This window comes from Homo sapiens, chromosome 2, assembly GCF_000001405.40.
Source record: "Homo sapiens chromosome 2, GRCh38.p14 Primary Assembly".
Taxonomy (NCBI): domain Eukaryota; kingdom Metazoa; phylum Chordata; class Mammalia; order Primates; family Hominidae; genus Homo; species Homo sapiens.
This window is the reverse complement of record NC_000002.12, coordinates 197,309,081-197,331,811: the sequence shown is the minus strand read 5'-3', so window position 1 is coordinate 197,331,811 and position 22,731 is coordinate 197,309,081. Positions and strand designations below refer to the sequence as shown.

Below are 22,731 nucleotides of genomic sequence, written 5' to 3'. Positions count from 1 at the left end.
GTCTTAAAGATATTTTCCTATATTGTCCACTGATTTGTTTTAAAGTTTTTTTTTTTTTTTGAGATGGAGTCTCACTCTTCTCACCCAGGCTGGAGTGCAGTGGCGCAATCTTGGCTCACTGCAACCTCTGCCTCCCAGGTTCAAGCAATTCTCCTGCCTCAGCCTCCTGAGTAGCTGGGATTACAGGTGTGCACCACCATGCCCAGCTGATTTTTGCATTTCTGGTAGAGACAGGGTTTCACCATGTTGGCCAGACTTGTCTCAATCTCTTGACCTCAGGTGATCCACCGTCTTGGCCTCCCAAAGTGCTGGGATTACAGGCGTGAGTCACTGTGCCTGGCCTGTTTTAAAGTTTTGATTTTCTACTTAGATATTTAATCAAGCTGACATGAATTTTTGTGTGTGTTTTGAGGTAGGGATATAACTTCATTTAATACCATATGATGTGATATGGAACCATATGATATGACAATATATGAAACCAACTATTCCAGCATCATTTATTGAATAGTCAGTCTTTACTCCCACTGATCTGCAATGCTACCTTTGTCAAATATCATGTTCCCATATATGAGTAGGTGATATGGTTTGGCTGTGTCCCCACCCAAATCTCATCTTGAATTGTAATCCCCATAATGCCTACGTGTCGAGGGAGGGAGCTATGGGAGGTGATTGGATCATGGGGACAGTTTCCCCCATGCTGTTCCTGTGATAGTGAGTGAGTTATCACGAGATCCAATGGTTTTATAAACATCTGGCATTTCCTCTGCTTCCACTTCTCTCTCCTGCCGCCATGTGAAGAAGGTCCTTGCTTTCTCTTTGCCTTCTGCCATGATTGTAAGTTTCCTGAGGTCTCCCCAGCCATGTGGAACTGTGAGTCAACTAAACCTCTTTCCTTTATAAATTACCAAGTCTTGTGTATTTCTTTATAGCAATGTGAAAACGGACTAATACAATAGGTCTGTTCCTGAGGCCTCTATTCTATTCTGCTAATTGCTGTATCGCCTTAGTTGCTAATCTTTTATAATAAATCTTGGCACCTGGTATGGTATGTCTCTCTGCCTTGTTCTTCTTCATAATTGTCTTGGTTATTCTTAGCGTCCATAAATTTTGAAATCAGTCTATCAAGTTTCATGAAAAACTCCATTGGTATTTTTATTAGAATTACATTGATTAACAGATTGATTTGGGAATACTGAAATGTTTAAAACTTTGACTTTTCTCATCCACTAAGATGGTATACCTCTCTACTTGTTTTTTGTTTTTTTGTTTTGTTTTTGTTTTTGAGACAGAGTCTTGCTCTGATGCCCAGCTCAAGTGCAGTGGCATGATCTCGCCTTACTGAGGCCTCTGCCTCCCAGGTTCAAGCGATTCTCCTGCATCAGCATCCCGAGTAGCTGAAATTAGAGGTGTGTGCCACCATGCCTGGCTAATTTTTGTATTTTTAGTAGAGATGGGGTTTTTCATGTTGGTCAGGCTGGTCTTGAACTCCTGACCTCAGATGATGCACCCACCTCAGCTTCCCAAAGTGCTGGGATTATGGGCATGAGCCACCATGCTCAGCCATCTCTACTTATTGAGATCTCTTTAAATGTCTTGCAGTAAAGTTTTATAATTTCCTCCAGATAGGTTTTGTATAAATTTTGTTAGATTTATTCATAGGTACCTTCTAGTTTGGGTTGCTATAGTAAATGGTATCTTTTCTTTTTCAAGTATGTTTCCTATCCCCTAACCTTAGTGGTTAGCATAAGTCAATAAAAAATTATAAAAAGCAAAAAAATTATGTTATCTAGTTTTTCATCAATGACGTATAACAGGAGTTGCAAACTATGGCAAACTATGGGCAAAATCTAGCCTGCTCCCGATGTTATTGAAACACAGCCATGCCCATTTGTTTACATATTGTCAGTGGCTGCTTTTGCACTACAATGGCAGAGTTGAATAGTTAAGATAGAGATCATGTGGCCTGCAAAATCTAAAATATTTGCTCTTTGGCTCTTTATAGTTAAAAAAAAAAAAGGCTGCCACCTGGTGTATGGGAGCACTACTAATTTTTGTATATGTGTTTTATATTGAGCAACCTGGCTGAACTGTCTTACTAGTGCTAATGACTTATATGTTAATTCTCTTAGATTGTTTTGTAAACTATTATATTGTCTATGATTAATGACACTTTTGTTTTTTCCTTTCCAGACCTTATGCTAGCTTACTTCTTTTGAGGAATGTTGAGTAGAAGTAGTGATAGCAGACCAGACATGGTGGCTCACACCTGTAATCCCAGCACTTTGGGAGGCCGAGGAGGGCACATCACCTAAGCTCAAGAGTTTGAGACCAGCCTGGCTAACATGGTGAAACCCTGTTTCTACTAAAAATTCAAAAAAAAAAAAAAATTAGGTGGGTGTGGTGGCATGCGCCTGTAATCCCAGCTACTTGGGAGGCTGAGGCAGGAGAATTGCTTGAACCCAGGAGGCAGAGGTTGCAGTGAGCCAAGATGGCGCCATTACACTCCAGCTTAGGCAACAAGAGTGAAACTCTGCTTCAAAAAAAAAAAAAAAAAAAATGTAGTGAAAGCTGGCCTCCTAGCTTTGTTCCTGACTTTAAAGAAAATGCTTCTAACTTTTCACCATGAAGTAACAGGTTTGCTTTCAATTTTTGGTAAATACCAAATATCAAATTAAGGAAGTTGTTCTCTATTTTTCTACATTTACCTTTAAAAGTTGTTTCTTAATTATCAATGAATGCTGAGTTTATCAAATGCTTTTTTGATACCTATCGAACACCTATTGGATCGCATGTTTTTCTTTTGATTCTTTGACCATTGTGTATTATAGTATGAAAAATCATTAGAACGAATAATATCTATTTGTATTTTTCTTCTGGTTTTCTAATTTCCTTTCTCTTCCATGCTTTGGCAATTTGACATCTATTTAACCACATAAAGTTATCAAATTAAAATGAACTTCTTGACAATAACTATAGAGGATGTTTCTGACTGTGTCTGAGCTGAAACTGGTTAAGTGGTGTCAATTCACAGTACACCACAGGAAAGTCTGCAAGATCGTTCCTACATTCAGAGATGAGAGAGAGGGAAGTGCGAGGACAGTATACTGCTTGGTCTCCATCGCTTCAGACCCATGCAGTAGGTATGAATTCTCTAGAGAGACTATGGTATCCACATTTCTGCATGGACCAGCGCATAGCATTGGCCCTATGTGGCCTGAAGGGTTAGCAATGTCACTCAGCATATCAAAGATTTTTACAGGTTTGGCAGCACTGATGACTATTATGAAGAGAATATCTTTTCTCTGAGCTTCAGCAGAACAGTGGCAAGACAACGGGATGGCAAGGGGTTGCAGGGGCTCAGCAGACTCAGTAGGTTCCCAGCAAATCCCTGAGGGAGAGTAGCAGTTCCTAGTGTTGATTTATTCCTCAACACTTGTGAGACACCCTTATGACTTTCTAGCATCACTTAGGGTCTGGAGTGGAGGTAGGGAGCTCATAGCCAGGAACATATTTGGGTTTAATTGTTAATGTAACCTTAGGCTCTTGGGGCTTGAGGAATTAGGGCTCCATATCCCTACCTGCAGCATTCTAAGAGTTTTTTCACTTAAAGTTTTTGCATGTCAGTAAGATCTATTGTAGACCTTGCAGTACTCCTAAAGACTTACCAGAGACTATTTGGTGGATTTTATATTTGCCAGCTTATTTTTCACCATGGGCCATGCACTGGCAGTTACACAGCAGAGAAAGAGTAAATGTGAAACATGCAAGCACATTTCGGGACTCTTTTGCTTTGTTCTTAATTTCCTTGCAAATGCTACATCCAACCACCAAAGTGCCAGACAGTAAATCTTAATTCTTTCCTGTTTCTACAGAAATTGAGGGTGCTTTCCTATGGGTTCTATCATTGCTGGTTGACAGCTACATGTTCCACAGACTGGATGGAAAAACCCAGCTGTATCTTTGTGTCTCTGAATGTCATTAACTAATTTTCAAGTATTCAATGAAACCACAGATAGACTTGGCCAAGTATTTTTCCCCCTGAGTTTTGGAAAATATGCACATCTTAAAAAATATATTGCATATGTTCCTTATTTACTTACCACCAAATGTTCCAAATCTTGCATTATAGGAGTTAGAGACTGTCCAAAGAGCTCATTGAACCATTTTTGAAAATGTTCTTTTACAAAAACAGGAAGTCACAATATACCAAATGTCAAGTAACTTTGAATTTCAGAGGAGTTGGATTAGGTTCAAAACTTTTGAAATCATAAAGTTGAGCTGGTTCTAAATCAGAGTGTTGACTAGTCCCCTACTTTCTAATTATTTTTCCTCTTCTATGCTCATGTGTGTGTATGTGTATGTATATGGTACACACTTCTCATACACTCTAAAGTGCAATGATGAGAGGAAGAAATTTCCATGTTTTGATTACTTTAAATTTGGGGAGGAAGAAAAATCATCTTGTGGTTACAGACTCAGAAGTTCAGACTTGGTATTTCAGAATCAGAGGATATTTAATCCTCTATAAGCAGTGTGATTTCAGTCTTGTTGTCTGTCATTGGTTAAAGCCACTGAAACTGGGGACATTTACACTTAATAATTTACTTTAGAGACTTATTTTGGCTGAGCACAGTGGCTCACGTCTGTAATCCCAACACTTTGGGAGGCTGAAGCAGGTGGATCACCTAACGTCAGGAGTTCGAGACCAGCCTGATCAATATGGTGAAACCCTGTCTCTACTAAAAATACAAAAATTAGCCGGGCGTGGTGACGTGCACCTGTAGTCTCAGCTGCTTGGGAGGCTGAGACAAGAGAATTGCTTGAACCCAGGAGGCAGAGGTTGCAGTGAGCTGAGATCGCACCATTGCACTCCAGCCTGGGCAACAGAGAGAGATTCGGTCTCAAAAAAAAAAATGTATTTCACAGAGTACCTATTATGTTATTGAAAAAGGTGCTTTGTAAAGAAAACAAAAAGTGTGTATGGTACACATTTTAGCTGTTTGCATGGGGTAATGTGTAAACAATAGAAATTGATTTCTTACAGTTCTGGAAGTTGGGGAGTCCAAGGGCAAGATGCAGCCATTTGTTGTTTGGTAAGGGCCTTCTTGCTGCATTCTCCCATGGCAGATGGGGCGATACCATGTCCTCACATGGCAGAAGGCTGAAGGGCAAGAAAAGACCTAAACTAGCTCCTTCCAGCTCTTTTACAAGGCACCAATCCATTCATGAGGGTACAGCCCACACAACTTAATCACTTCCTAAAATGCCCCACCTCTTAATACCACTACAATGGGAATTAAGTTTCAACATGAAGTTTGAAGGAGACACATTCAAACAATGGCAGTGTATGTTATAGATTGAGTCTATGATTTTTTTTTTTTTTTTTTTGGCTGGGGGTCAGGAGAGAGACTTGGAAATATTCCAAGACCTGAAAACAGCAAAAAACTGACATAATGCTATGTTCTACATTTCCTTAATGGACAGAACTGTATAAGATGATTTAGAATGAGCAGCTGACTTTTGGAGAATGAAGAATGCACTAGCTTCTTCACAATGTCCTAAACATTGGAAGAGGTAACTTTTGTTTAGCTAATAAAAATTTTAACTGAAGATGTATTATGTGATCAGGTATGGTGTATGTTTGGGATAAAAAGGTGAATTTAAAATGAGCCTGGCCCTCGAAGAGTCTACACTAGAGTGGGAAACAGACAACTCATTGTTGTTTAAAGTGGAAAGTCCAATAGAAGTGCTTATATCAGGTATAGACATTGTACAAAGGATTAACTGTGTCTGGGGTGGTGAGGGAGAGATGGTGAGGAATTTACAGCACCTAGCACTGTGGATGGCACATAGTAGAGACTCAATAAATGTTAGTTCCCTTCTCTCCTTCCTTTATTTATTTATTTATTTTTTTGAGACGGAGTCTCGCTCTGTCGCCCAGGCTGGAGTGCAGTGGCATGATCTCGGCTCACTGCAAACTCCATCTCCCGGGTTCACGCCATTCTCCTGCCTCAGCCTCCTGAGTAGCTGGGACTACAGGCAGCTGCCACCACGCCCGGCTATTTTTTTGTATTTTTAGTAGAGACGGGGTTTCACCGTGTTATCCAGGATGGTCTCGATCTCCTGACCTCGTGATCCGCCCAACTCAGCTTCCCAAAGTGCTGGGATTACAGGCGTGAGCCACTGCGCCCGGCCCCTCTCCTTCCTTTAGATATAATGTGTTGACCGTTATATACAAAGATTATGATGCCACTGTGTCCTAACAGCAAGGAATTATGAATTTAGCATTCCTTTCTGGCCAGGTGGGGTGGCTCATGCCTGTAATCCCAGCACTTTGGGATGCCAAGGCAGGTGGATCACTTGAGGTCAAGAGTTCAAGACCAGCCTGGCCAACATGGTGAAACCCCATCTCTACAAAAAACTACAAAAATTAGTCTTGATGGCCAGGCTTGATGCGGGCTCCTGTAGTGTAGTCTCAGCTACTTGGGAGGCTGAGTCAGGAGAATTGCTTGAATATGGGAGGTGGAGGTTGCAGTGAGCTGAGATTGCACCACTGCACTCCAGCCTGGGTGACAGAGTGAGACCCTGTCTCAACAAAACAAAACAAAACAAAAGGAATTATTTTCTTGTGGACAGTTAGCACTAATTCCTCTATATTTAGAAATTTTTGATTCTTCTGGGGACCAGTGACCAATATTTACAAAATTGTTCAACAGTTTAATGGGTAAGCTAGGAACAGAAAGCAGACCCACAAATTAATAATCAACTATAAACTTGACCCTGGATATAAGTGTACCAGCCACATTTGTGAGAGTTCCTGAGCCAGGTTTCTGTTTTTGTTTCATTTCAGCAGCATAGAAGGTCACCAAACTTCTAAAAGCAACACTTATTAAACTTTTCCTAGGCCCTCAAAGAGCATAAGTGAATAAAGACTTATTCCTAGAGCTTGGGAGTGTGAAGGTTTGGTGAGGGGTGGATTGGAGGGAGATAGTGTGGAGAGGTCCATTGCAAACACAAAATGCGTGGGGTCTCAGGTTGATTTAAAAGATGTATGCAAATGTTACACTCCATGCCATACTATATCTGTTTGCTTATGTAAATATGAAAATACTGCTTCAAGTTACCTACCAAGTTAAGTGACTTAATTCCCCGAATCATTAAATCCAACTGATGCCCAAGGAAGAAGGGCTGTGTTTATTCTTTGACTATCTGAGCCCCTCGTTCACCATTTTCAGCAACTTGGTCTTTTTTACAAAAATTAATTAATTAAATAAATGAACAAATATCAGAAACTTGATCTTAATAACATATATATCTTAATATGTGTGACAAAATTGATATATATTATGTATATGACATATAAATCAATATACAGCACTGGTTGTGTGACCAATTAATAAGCGGAAGTTGTAGCTTGATTACTACATTCCTCATTTCCCACCTTTTGAAACATTCTGGCTTCTCATCCTAGTTCAGAAATAAGATGCAGAATTTGCACTCACTTCAGCAGCACAGGCATTAGTTCTTATACATGATAGGGTGGAAATGTGTCTCTCTTGCTTCTCTCTGCAGAAAATCATCTCATTCCTTGTCACTTTCTCATTATCATAATGCCATACCAATTGTTCAGTCTCCTTCTCTCTCATTTACGTATTTCTTTCCATTTTTCAAAGCATTTTCATATACATTTTATTATATGATTCTCCACGGTATTGAGGACAGGCATCCTTAGCCTCATTTGACTAGTAGTAAACTAAGGTTTGATGAGATTAAATTATTTACTCAAAGTTACATTCATTCAAAAGTATTTGCTCTGTATCTACTATGTGCCAGATACTATACAATGAACTAGAAACATCAAGGTGGATTAAACACAGTCCATGCCCTAAAAGAGGGAGACAGAAAAGTAATCCGGCAATTATAGGATGAAGGGATAAATACAATAATAGGGGTTAAGCAGAGGGCACTAAACATAAACCTTAGGGATACTCCTAATCCAAACTTGGGAGGTGAAGTGAGTAAGGGAAAATTCATGGGGTTAGTGATATCTAAACTGAGATCTGAAGTACAAGATTAACCAGAAGAAAATGATATCGAGGTGGGTAAAAGTATAAACAGGAAACAGCAATATGCAAAGGCTCAGAGAGAGAAGAAATATGCATCGGGGAGCTGCTTTCAGCACAGTGTATAAAGTGTGACACGGAGGCAAGGTTGCCCTGTTTAGGCACACAGATTGTGCACTGCACTACTCCAGCAGTTATCATTCACAGACTAGGCTGGGAATGGCATCCCCCAGAGTTGAGCAATGTGGCTTCTCTGCAAGAAGAATGATGGGTGGGGAATGTGAGGACTCTGAACATCATGCATGCTGAGGTGTTTGTAAACAGGCTGAAGGCAATGGAAAGCCATTGGAGGGGTTGTGGCTTGATTAGGCTTGTCTTTCAGAAGATTGTTCTGCCTGTGGGGTGGAGAATAGATCAGAAGAAACCAATGCTTATCAGCCTTCCAATCAGTAGATAAACATGAGACTGGCCTGGAGTGAGGTCCAGGAAGATCAGAGTTAGGGACAGATTCAAGAGATTTAAAGAACGTGGATTGACAAGACTCGGTAACTGGCAGGATGTGAGAGATGAGAGGGAAACGGAGATACCAAGTGTGAGCCCCAGCATTTGTTCTTAGATCAACACTGGGTCCAGGGTGGTGTCATTTACCGAGGAGGGGGGAACACTGGAGGAGGAAGATTATTAATTTTTGTTTTGGACATGCTGAGTATGAGGTGATTTTGAGACATCCGAGAGAGAAGCAGGCAGCTTGGTGGGACTGGAGGTCGGGAGAAACAATGAGGGTCTAAGACAGAGTGTTGTCAGCATGGACCTGTGTGGAACTGATCAGAGTCATTGTGGTTTCAGGACAGTGGGCTCAGGGGCACCCTGTGGAGTGGCGGAGGAGGTGAGGAAGTGGAGATCAGAAAAAAAGAGACATTTATTTTGAGAAGTTTGGCTGTGAAGGAGAAGAAAGAGGGGCATTTAAATTTTGTGAATTTGGGCCTGGTGCGGTGGGTCATGCCTATAATCCAAGCACTTTGGGAGGCCGAGGTGGGCAGATCACTTGAGGACAGAAATTTGAGACCAGCCTGGCCAACATGGTGAAACCCTGTCTCTACCAAAAATACAAAAATTAGCTGGGCATGGTGGTGCACACCTATAAACCCAGCTACTTGGGAAGCTGAGGCAGGAGAATCACTTGAACCCAGAAGGCGGAGGTTGCAGTGAGCCAAGATTGTACCACTGCACTCCAGCCTGGGCGACAAGAGTGAGACTTCGTCTCAAAAATAAAATAAAATAAAAAAATGTGAATTTGGGCTATCAATTTTCTGCAGGAAGGTTGAGAATGGTTGCTGAGACTCTACAGTGTCCTGGTGAAGTTTAAGGACCATAATTGCATGCTAAAATGCCCAGTCAGGGTTTTTCTCTCTTTTAAAGGAGCTTGGTGCTTCCATCTACATTTCTTTGCAGCTTCTCTTCTTTCCTCCCTCCTTTATCCCTTTGTATTCTATGGTGAATCTTACTTTCTCACCTTCCACTGTTTTATTTTTTCCAGGACAGCTGTCTGAAGAAGTTAAAAATAAATGGAATAACATTTTTAAAACCACAGTAAAATGCAGAAGTTTTAATACAGAACAAACACAATATTCATTTCAGCAATGCCTCAGAGGAGGCACTGTAATAACTTACTTCTTTTTTTTTTTTTTTCTTTTTTGAGGCAGGGTCTGGTTCTGTTGCCCAGGCTGGAGTGCAATGGCATGATCATAGTTCACTGCAGCCTCCACCTATTGGGCTCAAACCATCCTCCCACCTCAGCCTCCCAAGTAGCTGGGACTGCACCAAGCCCTGCTAAGTTTTGTATTTTTGGTAAAGATGGAGTCTCACCATGTTGCCCAGGCTGGTCTCAAGTTCCTGAGCTCAAGTGATCCTCCCACCTTAGCCTCCCAAAGTGCTGGGATTACAAATGTGAGCCACTGTGCCTGGCTAACTTACTCCTTCTACTTGTTCTATTTCTCAATTGTTTTTTCTGTTGTTGGTTTTTATACTTTCTGTAGGAGGTGAGATTACAAGTAGGCATTCACAGAAAAACTTAGTATATATTGAATAGAATTGCCAGCTAATATTGCCTCCAATTGCATGCTTTTAAAATCAAGCAGTTTGTCATTATTTATCGAATTCATGCAAAGAAGTGTAAGGCATGTCTAGTACCCATTAGAAGTTTATAATGAGAAAAACAACACATATAAAAAACAAAGCATGTGAAATTATGGAAGGCTAACACCCATAAAACAAAGAGAATAGATGATCAATAGCAAATAAAACAATGAAATATTTAATCGAATGATACTGTTTATAAGTTTGTTAGCAGGTCAAGGAAAATAAGGATCAAGAGCCAAGGAAGGCATTCCCTGGGATAAAGATAATAAATTTCAACAAATCAACACTAAAAGTAACTTTATAATATTGATTTAAAAAACCGTATTTCTTCAATTCTAAGGTGTCATCTTTTCACATTTTAATATCATAGATATAATAGCTAACATTCATCTTGCACTTACTTTGTACCAGGTTCTGTTACATGCGCTTTACATGTGCTGACTCACAGAGTATGGTGTATTTCATCTTGCATTTACTTTGTACCAGGTTCCGTTATGTGTGCTTTACATGTGCTGGCTCATAGAATATGGGATATTTCATGGAGTGAAAAATTTCATCTTCTGCTCTCTGAAAAGTTGTTTTTAAACCAATTTTACAAACTTAAACTCCATGACTGTTTAGAATCCAGGAACCATTGTAGGTGCAGAAATAAACAGTGCTTACAGATATACGTTAATAAAAATTACATTGAGGAAATGTTCTAATTTCCTTAGCCTAGATTGATAGGCCCTTGGTTTTGTTTTGTGAAGGTCATTTGATACCCCTAAGACATCTGTGGATCTTCTGTAACTTAGCCATTCAGTCAAGGGGCACAATATTTCAAAATAGAAAAGTCTCCGTGTGAAGAGAGTGCAGAGCCTCATCAGGATTTAACCTCATGCAGCAATCATCATTATCTGCCTCTACTTGTGGTTTGCACCCAGGTCAGGGAGATGGCTCTGATTTATTTACAAACAGGATGAACTATCTAAGCCACTAGTGTGAAGCCAAAATATATAATTATATTGGGTTGGGTTCTCCAGGCAACAGTCTCTGAGATGGAGAATTGTATGCAGGTTATTTACTGGGGAATGTTTTCAGGCACAACCCTGGTGGGGATGAGGAGAGCAGGACTGGGTAGAAGGAGAAGTTGATCTGTGATGCATTTGCAGCACAGGCCCCAGCAGATCCCAGAGGGAGTGTTGGAGCTAAGATGTGCTTTCGGAGATGTCCTTAGTTGAGGCAAAAGGGGCTGGGCCTTTGTACTCTCAAATTCACTGGATATGAATAGTTTCAAGGGAGGGACTGTAATGAGGTGAGGTGGTTGCTTCTGACTGAGGGTAATTCCTGAAGGAAGAATCAGCTTCAAGCTATCAGCAGGCAACACTCTCTGCAGTTGGGGGCATAAAGCCTTTGGTCCTGAATGTGGGAACTGGGTGGCACACTACAGCATCCACGACAGTGAAATACTGTGTATTCATAAGTTTATATGTTGATATGGTTTGGGTGTGTCCCCACCAAAATCTCATCTTAAATTGTAGCTCTTATAATTTCCTCTTATCGTGGGAGGGACCTGGTGGGAGGTAATTCAATCATGGGGGTGGGTCTTTCCCATGCTGTTCTCATGATAGTGGATAATATGTCTCATGAGAGCTGATGGTTTTATAAAGGGGAGTTGCCCTACACAAGCTCTCTTCCCTGCCACCATGTAAAACATGACTTTGCTCCTCTTTTGTCTTCTGCCATGATTGTGAGGACTCCCCAGCCATGTGGAACTGTGAGTCAATTAAATCTCTTTTCTTTATAAACTACCCAGTCACGGGCAGTCCTTTATAGCAGCATGAGAATGGACTAATACATATGTTTTATATAAACATATAAAATACAAACACAGATATACAGATATACACACACATTTACGTGCACATTTATATTTATAAAATTTAAAAAAGCATACATCAAGTAAATAAAACAACCATAGCGAAATGTGATATGGTATATTGGGTAGATTTAGTAAAGTCATAGGCTATGGTCACTACAGTACACAGTTCTCGGCCTTGCTCTTTAGGGAATGTTTTTGAAATTTGAGAGAACATATTTGGTTGTCACAAAGAATGGAATGCCCAAGCATCTATTGATTGGAAATTAAAGATGCTAGCTGTCCTGGAAAGTGGTCTTTCAAATGTCCCACTGGATATTCATGTAGGTAAAAATCTGTCTGCAATTATCTTAGCCTGGAACTTAACCCGTTTTACATATAAACACAATGTTTTAGTTTAGTTTAGATTTTTTTCATTCTAGGAATGTAACTGTGTTGTGGTATCAGTCAGGATCTAGTCAGGAAAACAATCTACATTATTATTATTTTTTGAGATGGAGTCTTGCTCTGTTACCCAGGCTGGAGTGCAATGTCATGATCTCTGCTCACCGCAACCTCCACCTCCCAGGTTCAAACGATTCTCCTGCCTCAGCCTCCCAAGTAGCTGGGATTACAGGTGCCCACCACCACACGGAGCTAATTTTTGTATTTTTAGTAGAGATGGGGTTTCACCATGTTGACCAGGCTGGTCTTGAACTCTTGACCTCAAGTGATCCGCCAGCCTCAGCCTCCCAAAGTGCTGGGATTACAAGTGTGAGCACTGCACCTGGCTCAACCTACATTATTTTAACAGAAATAACCCTTTCCCGTTTGCCCCGAGAATATGCGCCAGCAGCGCTTGTGGATGCAATGTTTACCCTGAGATAACTTTGCCATGAAATATCTCACTTTTATTATTTTTGCATCGCTCTGACATATTGACCTTGAAAACAAAAGACGTCATTCTATTTATAGCATTCTGTTTCTAGTAGTGGCATTTCTGTTTACAAAATATAGTAATTCTCGATTGCTGAAAATGTCAAATTCTAGAAAACGTAGCATTCCTACACGTGATGTTAACAGCGTTCTTGAACAGTTGTTGACTGAAGAGTCACTTGATGAATCTGATTTTTCTGAAATAGATGATTTTGATGTTAGTTCTGTTTAGAAATAACTCCAAGAACAGTTTTTAGATTTTATTTTCACATTGAAAATCAGATTTGCTTCAACCTCAAAGGGCGTGTTTATGTAAAATCAAATGAGTGCAGGCAGTGAGCTATACTTTTTTTTTTTTGTTTGTTTGTTTTGTTGTTGTTGTTGAGATGGAGTTTTGCCCTTGTTGCCCAGGCCAGAGTGCAATGGTGCGATCTCGGCTCACCACAACCTCTGCCTCCTGGATTCAAACGATTCTCCCGCCTCAGCTTCCCTAGTAACTGGGATTACAGGTGCATACCACCACGCCCAGCTAATTTTTTTTTTTTTTTTTTTTTTTTGTATTTTTAGTAGACATGGGGTTTCACCATGTTAGCCAGGCTGGTCTTGAACTCCTGACCCCAAGTGGTCCACCCGCCTCGGCCTCCTAAAATGCTGGGATTACAAGAATGAGCCACCATGCCCAGTCAGCTATACTTTTGTTTCTAAACAAGAAAAGGGTTAATATGAGGAATTGCTTAAATAGTCCTGTTTAATATGGGGAATTGTTTAAATAGGTGTTAGAGGACTGAAAAAACAAAAAGGGAACACAGAGATAGTAACTTTAAGAAGCAGCTACCACCAGTAGGGCTGGGAACAATGGGAAAAGGTTAGTTATTAGAACGAAAAGCTTGGAAGAGAGGCCCTTTTCTTCTCTTCATATCTTCACTCCTGAAGGGTCTGAATCCATTTTTTAATCCTTTTAAAAAATTATAGTAGCTTCCATCAACTTTTATTATAGGATATGGAAGTGCTAAGGGGTACCACAGAAAATCCAGAACATAGTCCTTCCTGTCCCAATCGTCCTCCCTGTCCCCATCGTCCTCCCTGTTCCCACTGTGTTGTAGCAAACCAATTTCCTCTTGATAATGGGAATCAGTAACCCCACCCAGAAAGGTAACCCCTGCTTTTCCTGTTGTTTCCATAGCATGTGGAACCGAAAGTGGACACATCCCAGTCTTAGCTTCTAATTCAATGAAACCATAATTGTGATCCCTGGTGGGAACCCTCCCTTGGGAAGCAACACCCCCAAACCAGCAGAGCTCAAAGCAAAACAGGCACTGGAAGCAAAAACTGTATGAGTGGATTATTGGGTGTAATGATGAAAAGAACCACTTCTACTACAACCACCACTCCCTTCTCCCTCCCAGCCCCACCCTTGATTCTTGGACCTTGTATTTTGGGGGAAGCAGTACTATGTACTGACTCCTGACTCAAAGCATTTTCTGTGTCCTCCAAGAGGTAACTTCACTATGTTAGTGTGGTGTTTCCCAGCTGGTGCTGGAACTCAGTCTTCAGTAGAACTCCATCATCCTTCCAGGTGAGCTGCTTCTGGCTGATGAGGTATTGATAAGACTGGTAAATTCCATTTACATGAGTCCTTTGCTGCATTTCTTTTGCCATGAGATGAGTTCCTCAGAAAGAAGTAATATTGTGTAGACTATATAACAGTGAGTAAGATACAACATAAGTCATGGATGGTAGTTCTGTCAGAAACACTCTCTGGGCCGGGCATGGTGGCTTATGCCTGTAATTCCCGCACTTTGGGAGGCGGAGCAGGCAGATTACCTAAGGTGAGGAGTTCTGAGACCAGCCTGGTCAACATGGTGAAACCCCATCTCTACTAAAAATGTAAAAATTAGCCAGGTGTGGTGGCGCATGCCTGTAGTTCCAGCTACTTTGGAGGCTGAGGCAGGAGAATCACTTGAACCCCGGAGGTGGAGGTTGCAATGAGCCGAGATCATGCTACTGCACTCCAGCCTGGGCAACAGAGCCAGACTCCATCTCCAAAAAGAAAAGAAACACTCGCTGGGCACAAATCCATATCAGCTGGGCATGGAGGCTTACACCTATAATCCTAGCACTTTGGGAGGCTGAGATGGGTGGATCACTTGAGGCCAGGGGTTGAGACCAGCCTAGTCAACATGATGAAACCCTGTCTCTACTAAAAGTACAAAAATTAGCTGGGCGTAGTGGCACACTCCTGTGATCCCAGCTATGCAGGATGCTGAGGTGCGAGAATCGCTTGAATCTGGGAGGCAGTGATTGCAGTGAGCTGAGATCACGCCACTGCACTCCAGCCTGGGCAACAGAGCAAGACCCTACCTGAAAAAAAAAAAAAAAACAAGAAAGGAAAAGAAAACAAATTCATATCCACAATATGTGTCTACTCTAGTGAAGACAAGTAACTGTTCCCTCCATGAAGGAAGGGTTCCAAAATAATCAATTTGCTACCACATGGCTGACTAGTCTCCCTTGGAAATGGTGCCTCTCAATGTGTGATTTCTGATGTTGTCAGATATCAGCCTTACTGCAGAGAAGCCTAAGATTTGAAGCCCAAACATAGTCTTTATTCCTGACTCCATGGCTACTTTGAGCAAGCACTGCAATAGGTGGAGAAAGAGGCCCACTCCACCGAATGTGTCATTCACCTAATTACTAAAAGCCTTCTCAGAGTAGATGCTCTGTGGTGAGCATTCACATGGCACACAAATTCCTCACACTTTGTGCCTATTCTGAAAGGTGCACCCACAAACCTCTTTCCCGGACCACCTCATCTTTCCAAGTTGCTGACCATTCAGCAAAACCATCAATAATTGCCTGTGAATGAGTGTAGATCTATACCTTTGACCGTCTCTCTCAATCCAGACAAAGTAGACCCTAGGTGCGCTGCTGGAAATTTCTTGCACTGAGAAAATTTCCCTTCAGTACTGTCATCGGGGGCATTCCTTATTGAGACTGTGATGCTGGAATAGACCACTTCCAGCTTGTGCCAGTATATTTAGGAGAACTGTCTGTAAATCAGTTAACTGGTCTTAAGAAATTCCCCATGAAGTTGAAGATAAGGAGGCACCAGGAGTAAGTATCAAAGGAATCTGAGCTACCTGCTAAGGCAACTTGTGCTTTCTGGACCTGCTTAAGCTCAGTCTCTTACATACCATTTCCATTTGATGAGGAATTCCTCTTGTGTATGTCTGGTCTTATGGATTGGTAGATTAGATTACACTCAGTTCATAATGGGCAGCTGAGCTTGCAGTCACTTGATTGTCTCATGGCCAGTCATTCAAATTCACTTAGCAAGCTAGGGACCATTCCTCAAATAGAAAATTGTTATCTGCAGAAGAGGGCATGACTTGCTCTACAACTAAGGAATTCTGCATTGTAGATCTAATCAGGGCTCACCAGAGGCTCTATATAGCATCCTTATTTGCCACAGACACTTTAAGTATCATTGGATTCCTCTGGGTCATCAAGTCCTGCTACAGATATTTCTTCTCCCCTTATTCCTAATAAAAAATTCCAGCCTTATGGGTTGCTCTATAAATGGGTCACAGCATCACACTCAGATGTGATACATATTGCCTCTAAAATCCAAGGATACCCAGAAAGTATTGTGTCTCTTTTCTTAGTGGTAGATGGTACAAGGTGAAGTAATTTGTCTTTTACGTTGGGGAGAATATCCTGGTGTTTTCTAGACCACTGGACCTCCAGAAACTTCACTAAGGTGATGAATTTTCTTGGGGTTTATACCCAATCTCTGGCTCACATGTGTGTTGTTAAGGCAGCTAAAATATTTGTTACTTCCTGTTTATCAGGGCCAGTCAGCTCGATGTCTTTAACATAGTGATCAAGACCTGTGCAGATGAGATTATGCCAGAGAGTGGGAGTGTTTACATCCCCTAGAGAAGACTGTAAAGGTGTACTGTTGATCTTGCCATATAAAAGAAAACAACTTTTGGTGAAAATTGAAATAGATAAAAAGCATTTGCCATATCAATAGTGCACACCAGGTGCCTAGGGCTGAGTTGCTTTGTTGCGGTAAAGACAGCATATATAGAATAGCAGCTGCAACTGACATTACCATTTGATTAAGTTTACAACTTAATAACAAATCATAGTTATTCTCTAAGATCTTTTGCATAGGCCCAACAGGTGAGTTAAATGGAGATGTGACAGTATTATCATTCCTGTATCTTCTACGTCTTTTCTGGTGGTACCAATTTCTACATATTTCCAGGGATTGAGCATTGTTGTTGGTTTTCTATTCTGGTATCAAGAGGAAATTCCAGAGGCTTCCATTTGGCCTGTCTTACCATAATAAACTTCACTCTGTGGGTCAGAGAAATGATGTTAGGATTCTGTTAGTTACTGAGTATGTCTATTCTAACTAACAGTTGAGGAGATAACTATAGTTTGGGTCTGCAGAGCTACTGGATCCACACTGATTTATACTTAGTTAAAAATTTCATTTATCACCTACCATAGATCCCCATTTTGATTGGTGGATCCAGTGGTGTTTGCAATCCTCAGGAATTAGCATTAATTCAGAAGCAGTGTCAGTGATCCCTCAAATGTCTGGGTATTTCCTTTTTCCCAGTACTCGCTCAGCCTAGAAAAATACATCAGGTTCCTTTGGATAAGGCTTGGATGAGGATTTGTAGTATATATTTATGACAATGCTGCAAGACCCTCCTGAAGGGGACCAGCTTCCCTTTTAATCAAGGAGCTCTGTGTCTGTGAACTCATTTAGGTACGGAAACTGAATGAAAGATAATTTCATTTTGATGGCTCAAGGGAGCTTTCAGGTGGCAGATGTAGAGTTTTGTCTGTTATAAAGATCAATGGCTATTTCCAAAGTCTGCCCGTCTATTTCATTCCTAGGACAACCTAGGGCACTGCCAGATATACCTGTAGGTTAAGACCTTTAAGTACTACTTTGTCTCTGCTGTCCATTACAGTAAATGTGTCCACCTTGTCTCTGCCAGCTAAGTGCTGCCACTTGGCCATTGCTGTCGCAGGATCCCACTAATATAAAAATCAAGGAGCCATCTCAACGAAAGCATCTCCCACCATCATATCCAGCTACTAGAGAGTTTTTCTGACGTTCTCTCTCGAATGTATTTTTCTTTCCTTTTCTTTTTTTTTCTTTTTGACAGAGTCTTGCTTTGTTGCCCAGGCTGGAGTGCAATGGCGCGTCATTGGCTCAGTGCAACCTCTGCCTCCTGGGTTCAAGCGACTCTCGTGACTCAGCCTCCCAAGTAGCTGGAACTACAGGTGCATGCCACCACGCCTGGCTAATTTTTTGTATTTTTAGTAGAGACGGGGTTTCACCATGTTAGCCAGGCTGGTCTGGAACTCCTGACCTCAGGTGATCCACCTGCTTCAGCCTCCCAAAGTGCTGGGATTATAGGCATAAGCCATGGTGCCTGGCCTGTATTTTTCAATGCTTCAGTATAAAGATCATCATCTGGCTCTCCAGGAATATGTAGGGGTTGGCTGTACAGATTATACATGATAAAATTATTCCAACATTCCCATCTCCACAAATCTTTGGATTTCTTTCTCTACATTATACCAGGGGCATTCTGGCTTCTCAAGCTCACCGAATATAGTCAACTGCTGAGTCTGAGTCTCATTTAATGAAGTAAACAAAGTGTTTGAATCACTGTCAAAGTACTGGCTAACACATTAAAAGCAGACCTTCTGATAAGTGTAGTCTTATCAATAAATTTTGCCAAATCTTCTGCTCCCTATTTTATTTGGAACTTGGCCACGAGTTGTTCAACCTTTCACAAAGTCAGGTCACCTATGACAACACCAATCTTGATATTTGAATTCCTAACACTATATGTTCACATCTGTCTGCATTTGTAATTCTCTCATTCACAAAGCCTCTCCATATAGGTGGAAGCATCTTACTGCTTTGTTTTGTCAGAAGACAAAGAGAGTTGTGTTTTACCACTTACCTACTGAAATACATATTCATTATAAATTACTCTCCTTTAATTTTTCCTTTATTGTACAATTAGGACAATATATTGTTGCTGGTTTTTTTTTTTTTGAAATTTGTATTGGTAGGTAATATTATCCACAAATTACCTTTCAGGATAGTAAGGGGAGTGTTAAAGATACTAGTTACAAAAAGAGGATGATGGTCTGATTGGGTGGAGAACTGCTGCCTCCTCACTTTGGCCCCAGGAACTTAGGTGCAGGCATGTCCGCGATGAATCAAATTGGATCTTGAGTGAATCTTCCAAATTAAGTCATTTGTTATCACTCTTCTGAAAGATGGCTCTATTTAAGTAGAGAATGCAGGGTCCTATTCAGTTTACTTACAAAGCCATGCAGGGTGTTCAGTAAATAGACATACCAATAACAGCAGTGAAGAACTGACTCATAGATGCAACATAAACAATCTGTTGTATGTCTGAGAAAGGCCTTAGAATTTTTTGTTTGTTTGTTTCCATGCAACATTGATAACAGAGGAGTGGAAGCCAGGAACAAAGTTCCTTGGTTCTTCTTGTCTGCATGATCTGAATTATAATCTATAAGACTAATAAAGGTAAATTTGAGATTTAGCTGCTTCGACAACCAGAGTGGCTGGATGGTAAATGTGAGGATATTAATGCTCCTTTCTCTCCTGTCTCATGTGGAATCTTTGGGGGAGGTTCTAAGAGTAGGGAGGAAGAATGGACATTTGGTTTGTGAATATACAGTAGAGGCAGATGTTTGGTCTTGACCAAAGAATTCTGTAGCTCTAGTTTGCTCTTCAAAGCTGTTCAATGCTGCCCTACAGGTTTGCTCTATGGCCTGCCAGGGGCACATGGGGCTGCCTGGGAGCACTTCCTCTCCACTTGCTTACTTAATTCTCCCTTCTCCAGATCTCAACTCCTGTCACTTTCTCAGGGAAGCCTGCCCTCACCCACCAGTCTGGTCTGATTCCTTTGTTGTGGGTTCACTTCAGAAGCATGTTTTCCCTTGAGATCCCTTATCTCAGTTTGTAATTACATTCATTAGCAGAGACTATGCGGTTTATGTTGGCATCTTCTGAGAGCAGGTTATCTTATTTATGCTCTCCGTTTATTCCCGTGCCTAGCCAGTGCCTGACAAGGTAGGGACTCAGTACATAGCTGTTCAATGAATAAGTGTTTGCTCCAAATTCCAGAACTATCAACAGCTACTATGCTTACGAATATGCCCGTTGTATCTGTAGCCCATGGTGTTTGACAGCTGTCTTCTATTTGTTGAAGAGCTTGGTAACTTGGGATTTTGTAGAGATCAGTAAGGACTGGTGGGAACACCCAAAAGACCCATCAACTCGGTGATTTAGGACTGCTTTGCTTCTCCAGGAACTCCACTCCACCCCCACCAGCAAAAACCAAACCCAGGGTGTTTGAATTTAACAATAGTATGTGTGTGTGCATATGTGTGTGTGTGTTTAGCTGGAAAGTGGCTGGAGAACAAGGTGGAAGGGCCAGAGCTTCTGTTCCCTCCACCCATAAATGTTTGGCAAACACCCTGTAAAGAATCACAATGTGTCCGCTGCCTCCTGGCATTAAACAAAGGGAGCATCATAATTGCGGTCCCTGGGATCTTCGGGGCGCTGCCACCACCTGATTCTGGGTTAGGGGAAGGGGGCGTAACCCCATCTCCCCGGTTAAAGTGGACGGCATGTGAGTGAGAGCCTTTCCTGCCCCCTCGGGGTGTGTCCCCGCGGGCTTCCCCACCCATATGTGTGAGACCCGTCAGGGAGGCCCGCGATCCGCCCAGGGCCCGGGGCCGGCCCGGCCGGGCGCCGCGTGCAGGTGCGGAAGGCAGGCGGCGGCCCGGTGCGGGCGCGGGGGCAGCGCCGGGGGCCGGGCTGCGCGGCTCGGCTGCGGGCGGCAGGAGGCAGCGTCGGCCCAGGCGGCGGGCGGCGAGCGAGCCAGCGCGCGGTGATGTCAGTGGCGGCCCGGCTGGCAGCAGCCGGTACTTCCTGTGGAAAGGCGGGCGGGCTCGGCTGCAAACCCCACTAGCCAGTGTCAGCCTCTCGGCGGGAGGAGGCGGCGGCGGAGGAGGAGCAGGGGGAGGGCTGTCAAATTCGGGAGCCAGATTTTTTCCCTTCTCCTGGCAATCCCTTCCGCTTCCCCGGCTCCCGGCGTGACATCTGCGGGCCGGGGACCTGCATGTGTGTGCGCGCGAAGGAGCGGAAGAATGGCAGTGCTCAAACTCACCGACCAGGTAGCGGGCGGCGGCGCCGGCGGGCGGGACGCGCGGGCGCGGGGCGGCGCGGAGCCCGGCGGGGGGATGGGGGCGCGGCTGGAGCGCGCCCGCGAGCTGTTTACTCGCGGCGAAGGGGAGGACTGTGTGCGGCCGCCGGTGCCTCCGAGAGCCCGCGGCGGCAGCTCCCCTCCGCCGCGCCGTCCCCGCCCTGGGCCGTCGGAACTGCGCGCCCGAGTCTGGGGCAGGGCCCGTGGGCGCTGGGCAGCCGGCGTGCGGGAGTGCGGCGGCCGCGGGCCCGGCGGGGCTGGGGAGGGGGCCGGGGGCTCGAGGTGCTCTCGGGACTCGCACCGCGCCGCGTTGCGTGGGCGCCGCCGGCCCGGGCCCCGGGGAGGAGGACGCTGCACGAAGAGGGAGAAAGGATCGCAGACTGGGACCCCTCCCCAAACCTAGCAGGAGTCCTGCCCAGAATGCGGCTCTTGTGTGGCCGGGCTGTCTTTATTTATCCGTTGGATGTGACATCCGACTTCCTCTTTAGTTGCGCCAGGCTGTGTGCGTGGTGCGGGATGGGGACCCCTGGAGACCGCCCTTTCGGATCGGGCCGGTCCCTCTGAGGAGGAGGTGAAGTCGGCTCGGAGCCTCCACTCACAGGCGGTGGGCTACGGTCTGCCTGTGTCTACCAGCTTTGTTGGCTTTCCTTGCTGAGACACCACACAGGGCAGCTCTGGAGTCCTGGCTTGGAGAGGTGGGGTTATTTGCTGAATCGGATTGACAGTCCTCGCCGCAGGTCTGTGGAATGGTAACAGCCACCTTCGCGGACTCTGCTGCTCTTACATTGACACTAACAGGCACCAAACCAAGTTGCATGACAAAACTCTTTGCAGCTCTTTCCACGAAAAAAGGAAACGGCTTGCTACCCCCACCCCCGTTTATTCGTGGGTAGTGAAAGGAACTTTGTTTTGGGGTCCTGGTAGGCAGAGAGGCAATCTTGACTTTGACTACAGGGTCAGACTTGCCAGCCCTTGGTATTAAATACCTCAAACTTGTCCATGGGTTGCATCTGCTGCCTTGCGTTCTCCAGTTAGTATCCAGCCAGAACATCTTGCAACTGAAGTGCAGTCCGTCACCACAATGATTTGCAATGATTTGTTCTCCTGCCTTTTAGATTCAATTTTTTTAGCTTGTTTTTCCTAAATATTTACAGGTGTTTGGCGGGGTTGGTGATGGGGAAATCACTGAGTTAAAATTCATGTTATTGTTAAATTTAGTAAGAAGAGCAGCTGGTACTTGTGATGAATGTATTTGTTCTCATTGGTTCCAGAGCATTTAAAAGTGTAAGTTGATATCAGGATTTCCTTCACCTTTTGGTCACATACTTTGCCAACTGTTAGACATTTGCGTATTTTAAATCCTACAGTTTTAGCGTGTCTTGGGCCTGTCATCTTTGCTAGTACACGTTGCTGTACTTGTCTGTTAATCCCTAGATCTTCAAAGTACAAAGAATGGTTCTAATAGGTA

At 43.1% G+C, this 22,731-nt stretch overlaps 1 protein-coding gene and 1 long non-coding RNA gene across 22 annotated transcripts in view, besides 5 other annotated features; one reads left to right on the top strand and one right to left on the bottom strand.

Annotated features, from left to right (window-relative positions):
- Positions 1–12,931: 12,931 nt before the first annotated feature.
- On the bottom strand, positions 12,932–20,746 carry ANKRD44-DT (ANKRD44 divergent transcript). 5 transcript variants are annotated; one of them, XR_923750.3, is made up of 4 exons: positions 19,114–20,746; positions 17,495–17,623; positions 17,328–17,343; positions 12,932–13,175 (listed from the first exon to the last, which is right to left on the bottom strand). It is a non-coding gene; the product is annotated as an ANKRD44 divergent transcript (long non-coding RNA). The 5 variants fall into 5 exon arrangements; XR_001739847.2 differs by lacking the exon at positions 12,932–13,175 and having other exon boundaries at positions 17,149–17,343; positions 19,114–19,308; positions 20,205–20,746; XR_923749.3 differs by lacking the exon at positions 17,328–17,343.
- Positions 20,717–20,796: a silencer, noted in NCBI's record as "silent region_12212". NCBI's record gives its function as "represses an Ori minimal core promoter by ATAC-STARR-seq in GM12878 lymphoblastoid cells {active_cell/tissue: GM12878}" and the evidence as "EXISTENCE:reporter gene assay evidence [ECO:0000049][PMID:35858748]".
- Positions 20,807–21,126: a silencer, noted in NCBI's record as "silent region_12211". NCBI's record gives its function as "represses an Ori minimal core promoter by ATAC-STARR-seq in GM12878 lymphoblastoid cells {active_cell/tissue: GM12878}" and the evidence as "EXISTENCE:reporter gene assay evidence [ECO:0000049][PMID:35858748]".
- ANKRD44 (ankyrin repeat domain 44) overlaps positions 21,032–22,731 on the top strand; it is a 343,767-nt gene continuing 342,067 nt past the window's right edge. For all 17 annotated transcript variants that reach the window (NR_160034.1, XR_923062.3, XM_047446287.1 and 14 more), the window contains exon 1: positions 21,032–21,234. Coding sequence is in view for 15 of the 17 variants with exons in the window: in XM_047446287.1 (XP_047302243.1) it covers positions 21,208–21,234 (27 nt within the window). In the remaining 2 variants the exon portion in view is untranslated. The remainder of the gene's footprint in view (positions 21,235–22,731) is intronic.
- Positions 21,177–21,556: a silencer, noted in NCBI's record as "silent region_12210". NCBI's record gives its function as "represses an Ori minimal core promoter by ATAC-STARR-seq in GM12878 lymphoblastoid cells {active_cell/tissue: GM12878}" and the evidence as "EXISTENCE:reporter gene assay evidence [ECO:0000049][PMID:35858748]".
- Positions 21,680–22,181: an enhancer, noted in NCBI's record as "H3K4me1 hESC enhancer chr2:198174355-198174856 (GRCh37/hg19 assembly coordinates)". NCBI's record gives its function as "activates a minimal SCP1, AML or CMV promoter by ChIP-STARR-seq in primed H9 embryonic stem cells {active_cell/tissue: H9 hESC(primed)}" and the evidence as "EXISTENCE:reporter gene assay evidence [ECO:0000049][PMID:30033119]".
- Positions 22,633–22,692: an enhancer, noted in NCBI's record as "active region_16931". NCBI's record gives its function as "activates an Ori minimal core promoter by ATAC-STARR-seq in GM12878 lymphoblastoid cells {active_cell/tissue: GM12878}" and the evidence as "EXISTENCE:reporter gene assay evidence [ECO:0000049][PMID:35858748]".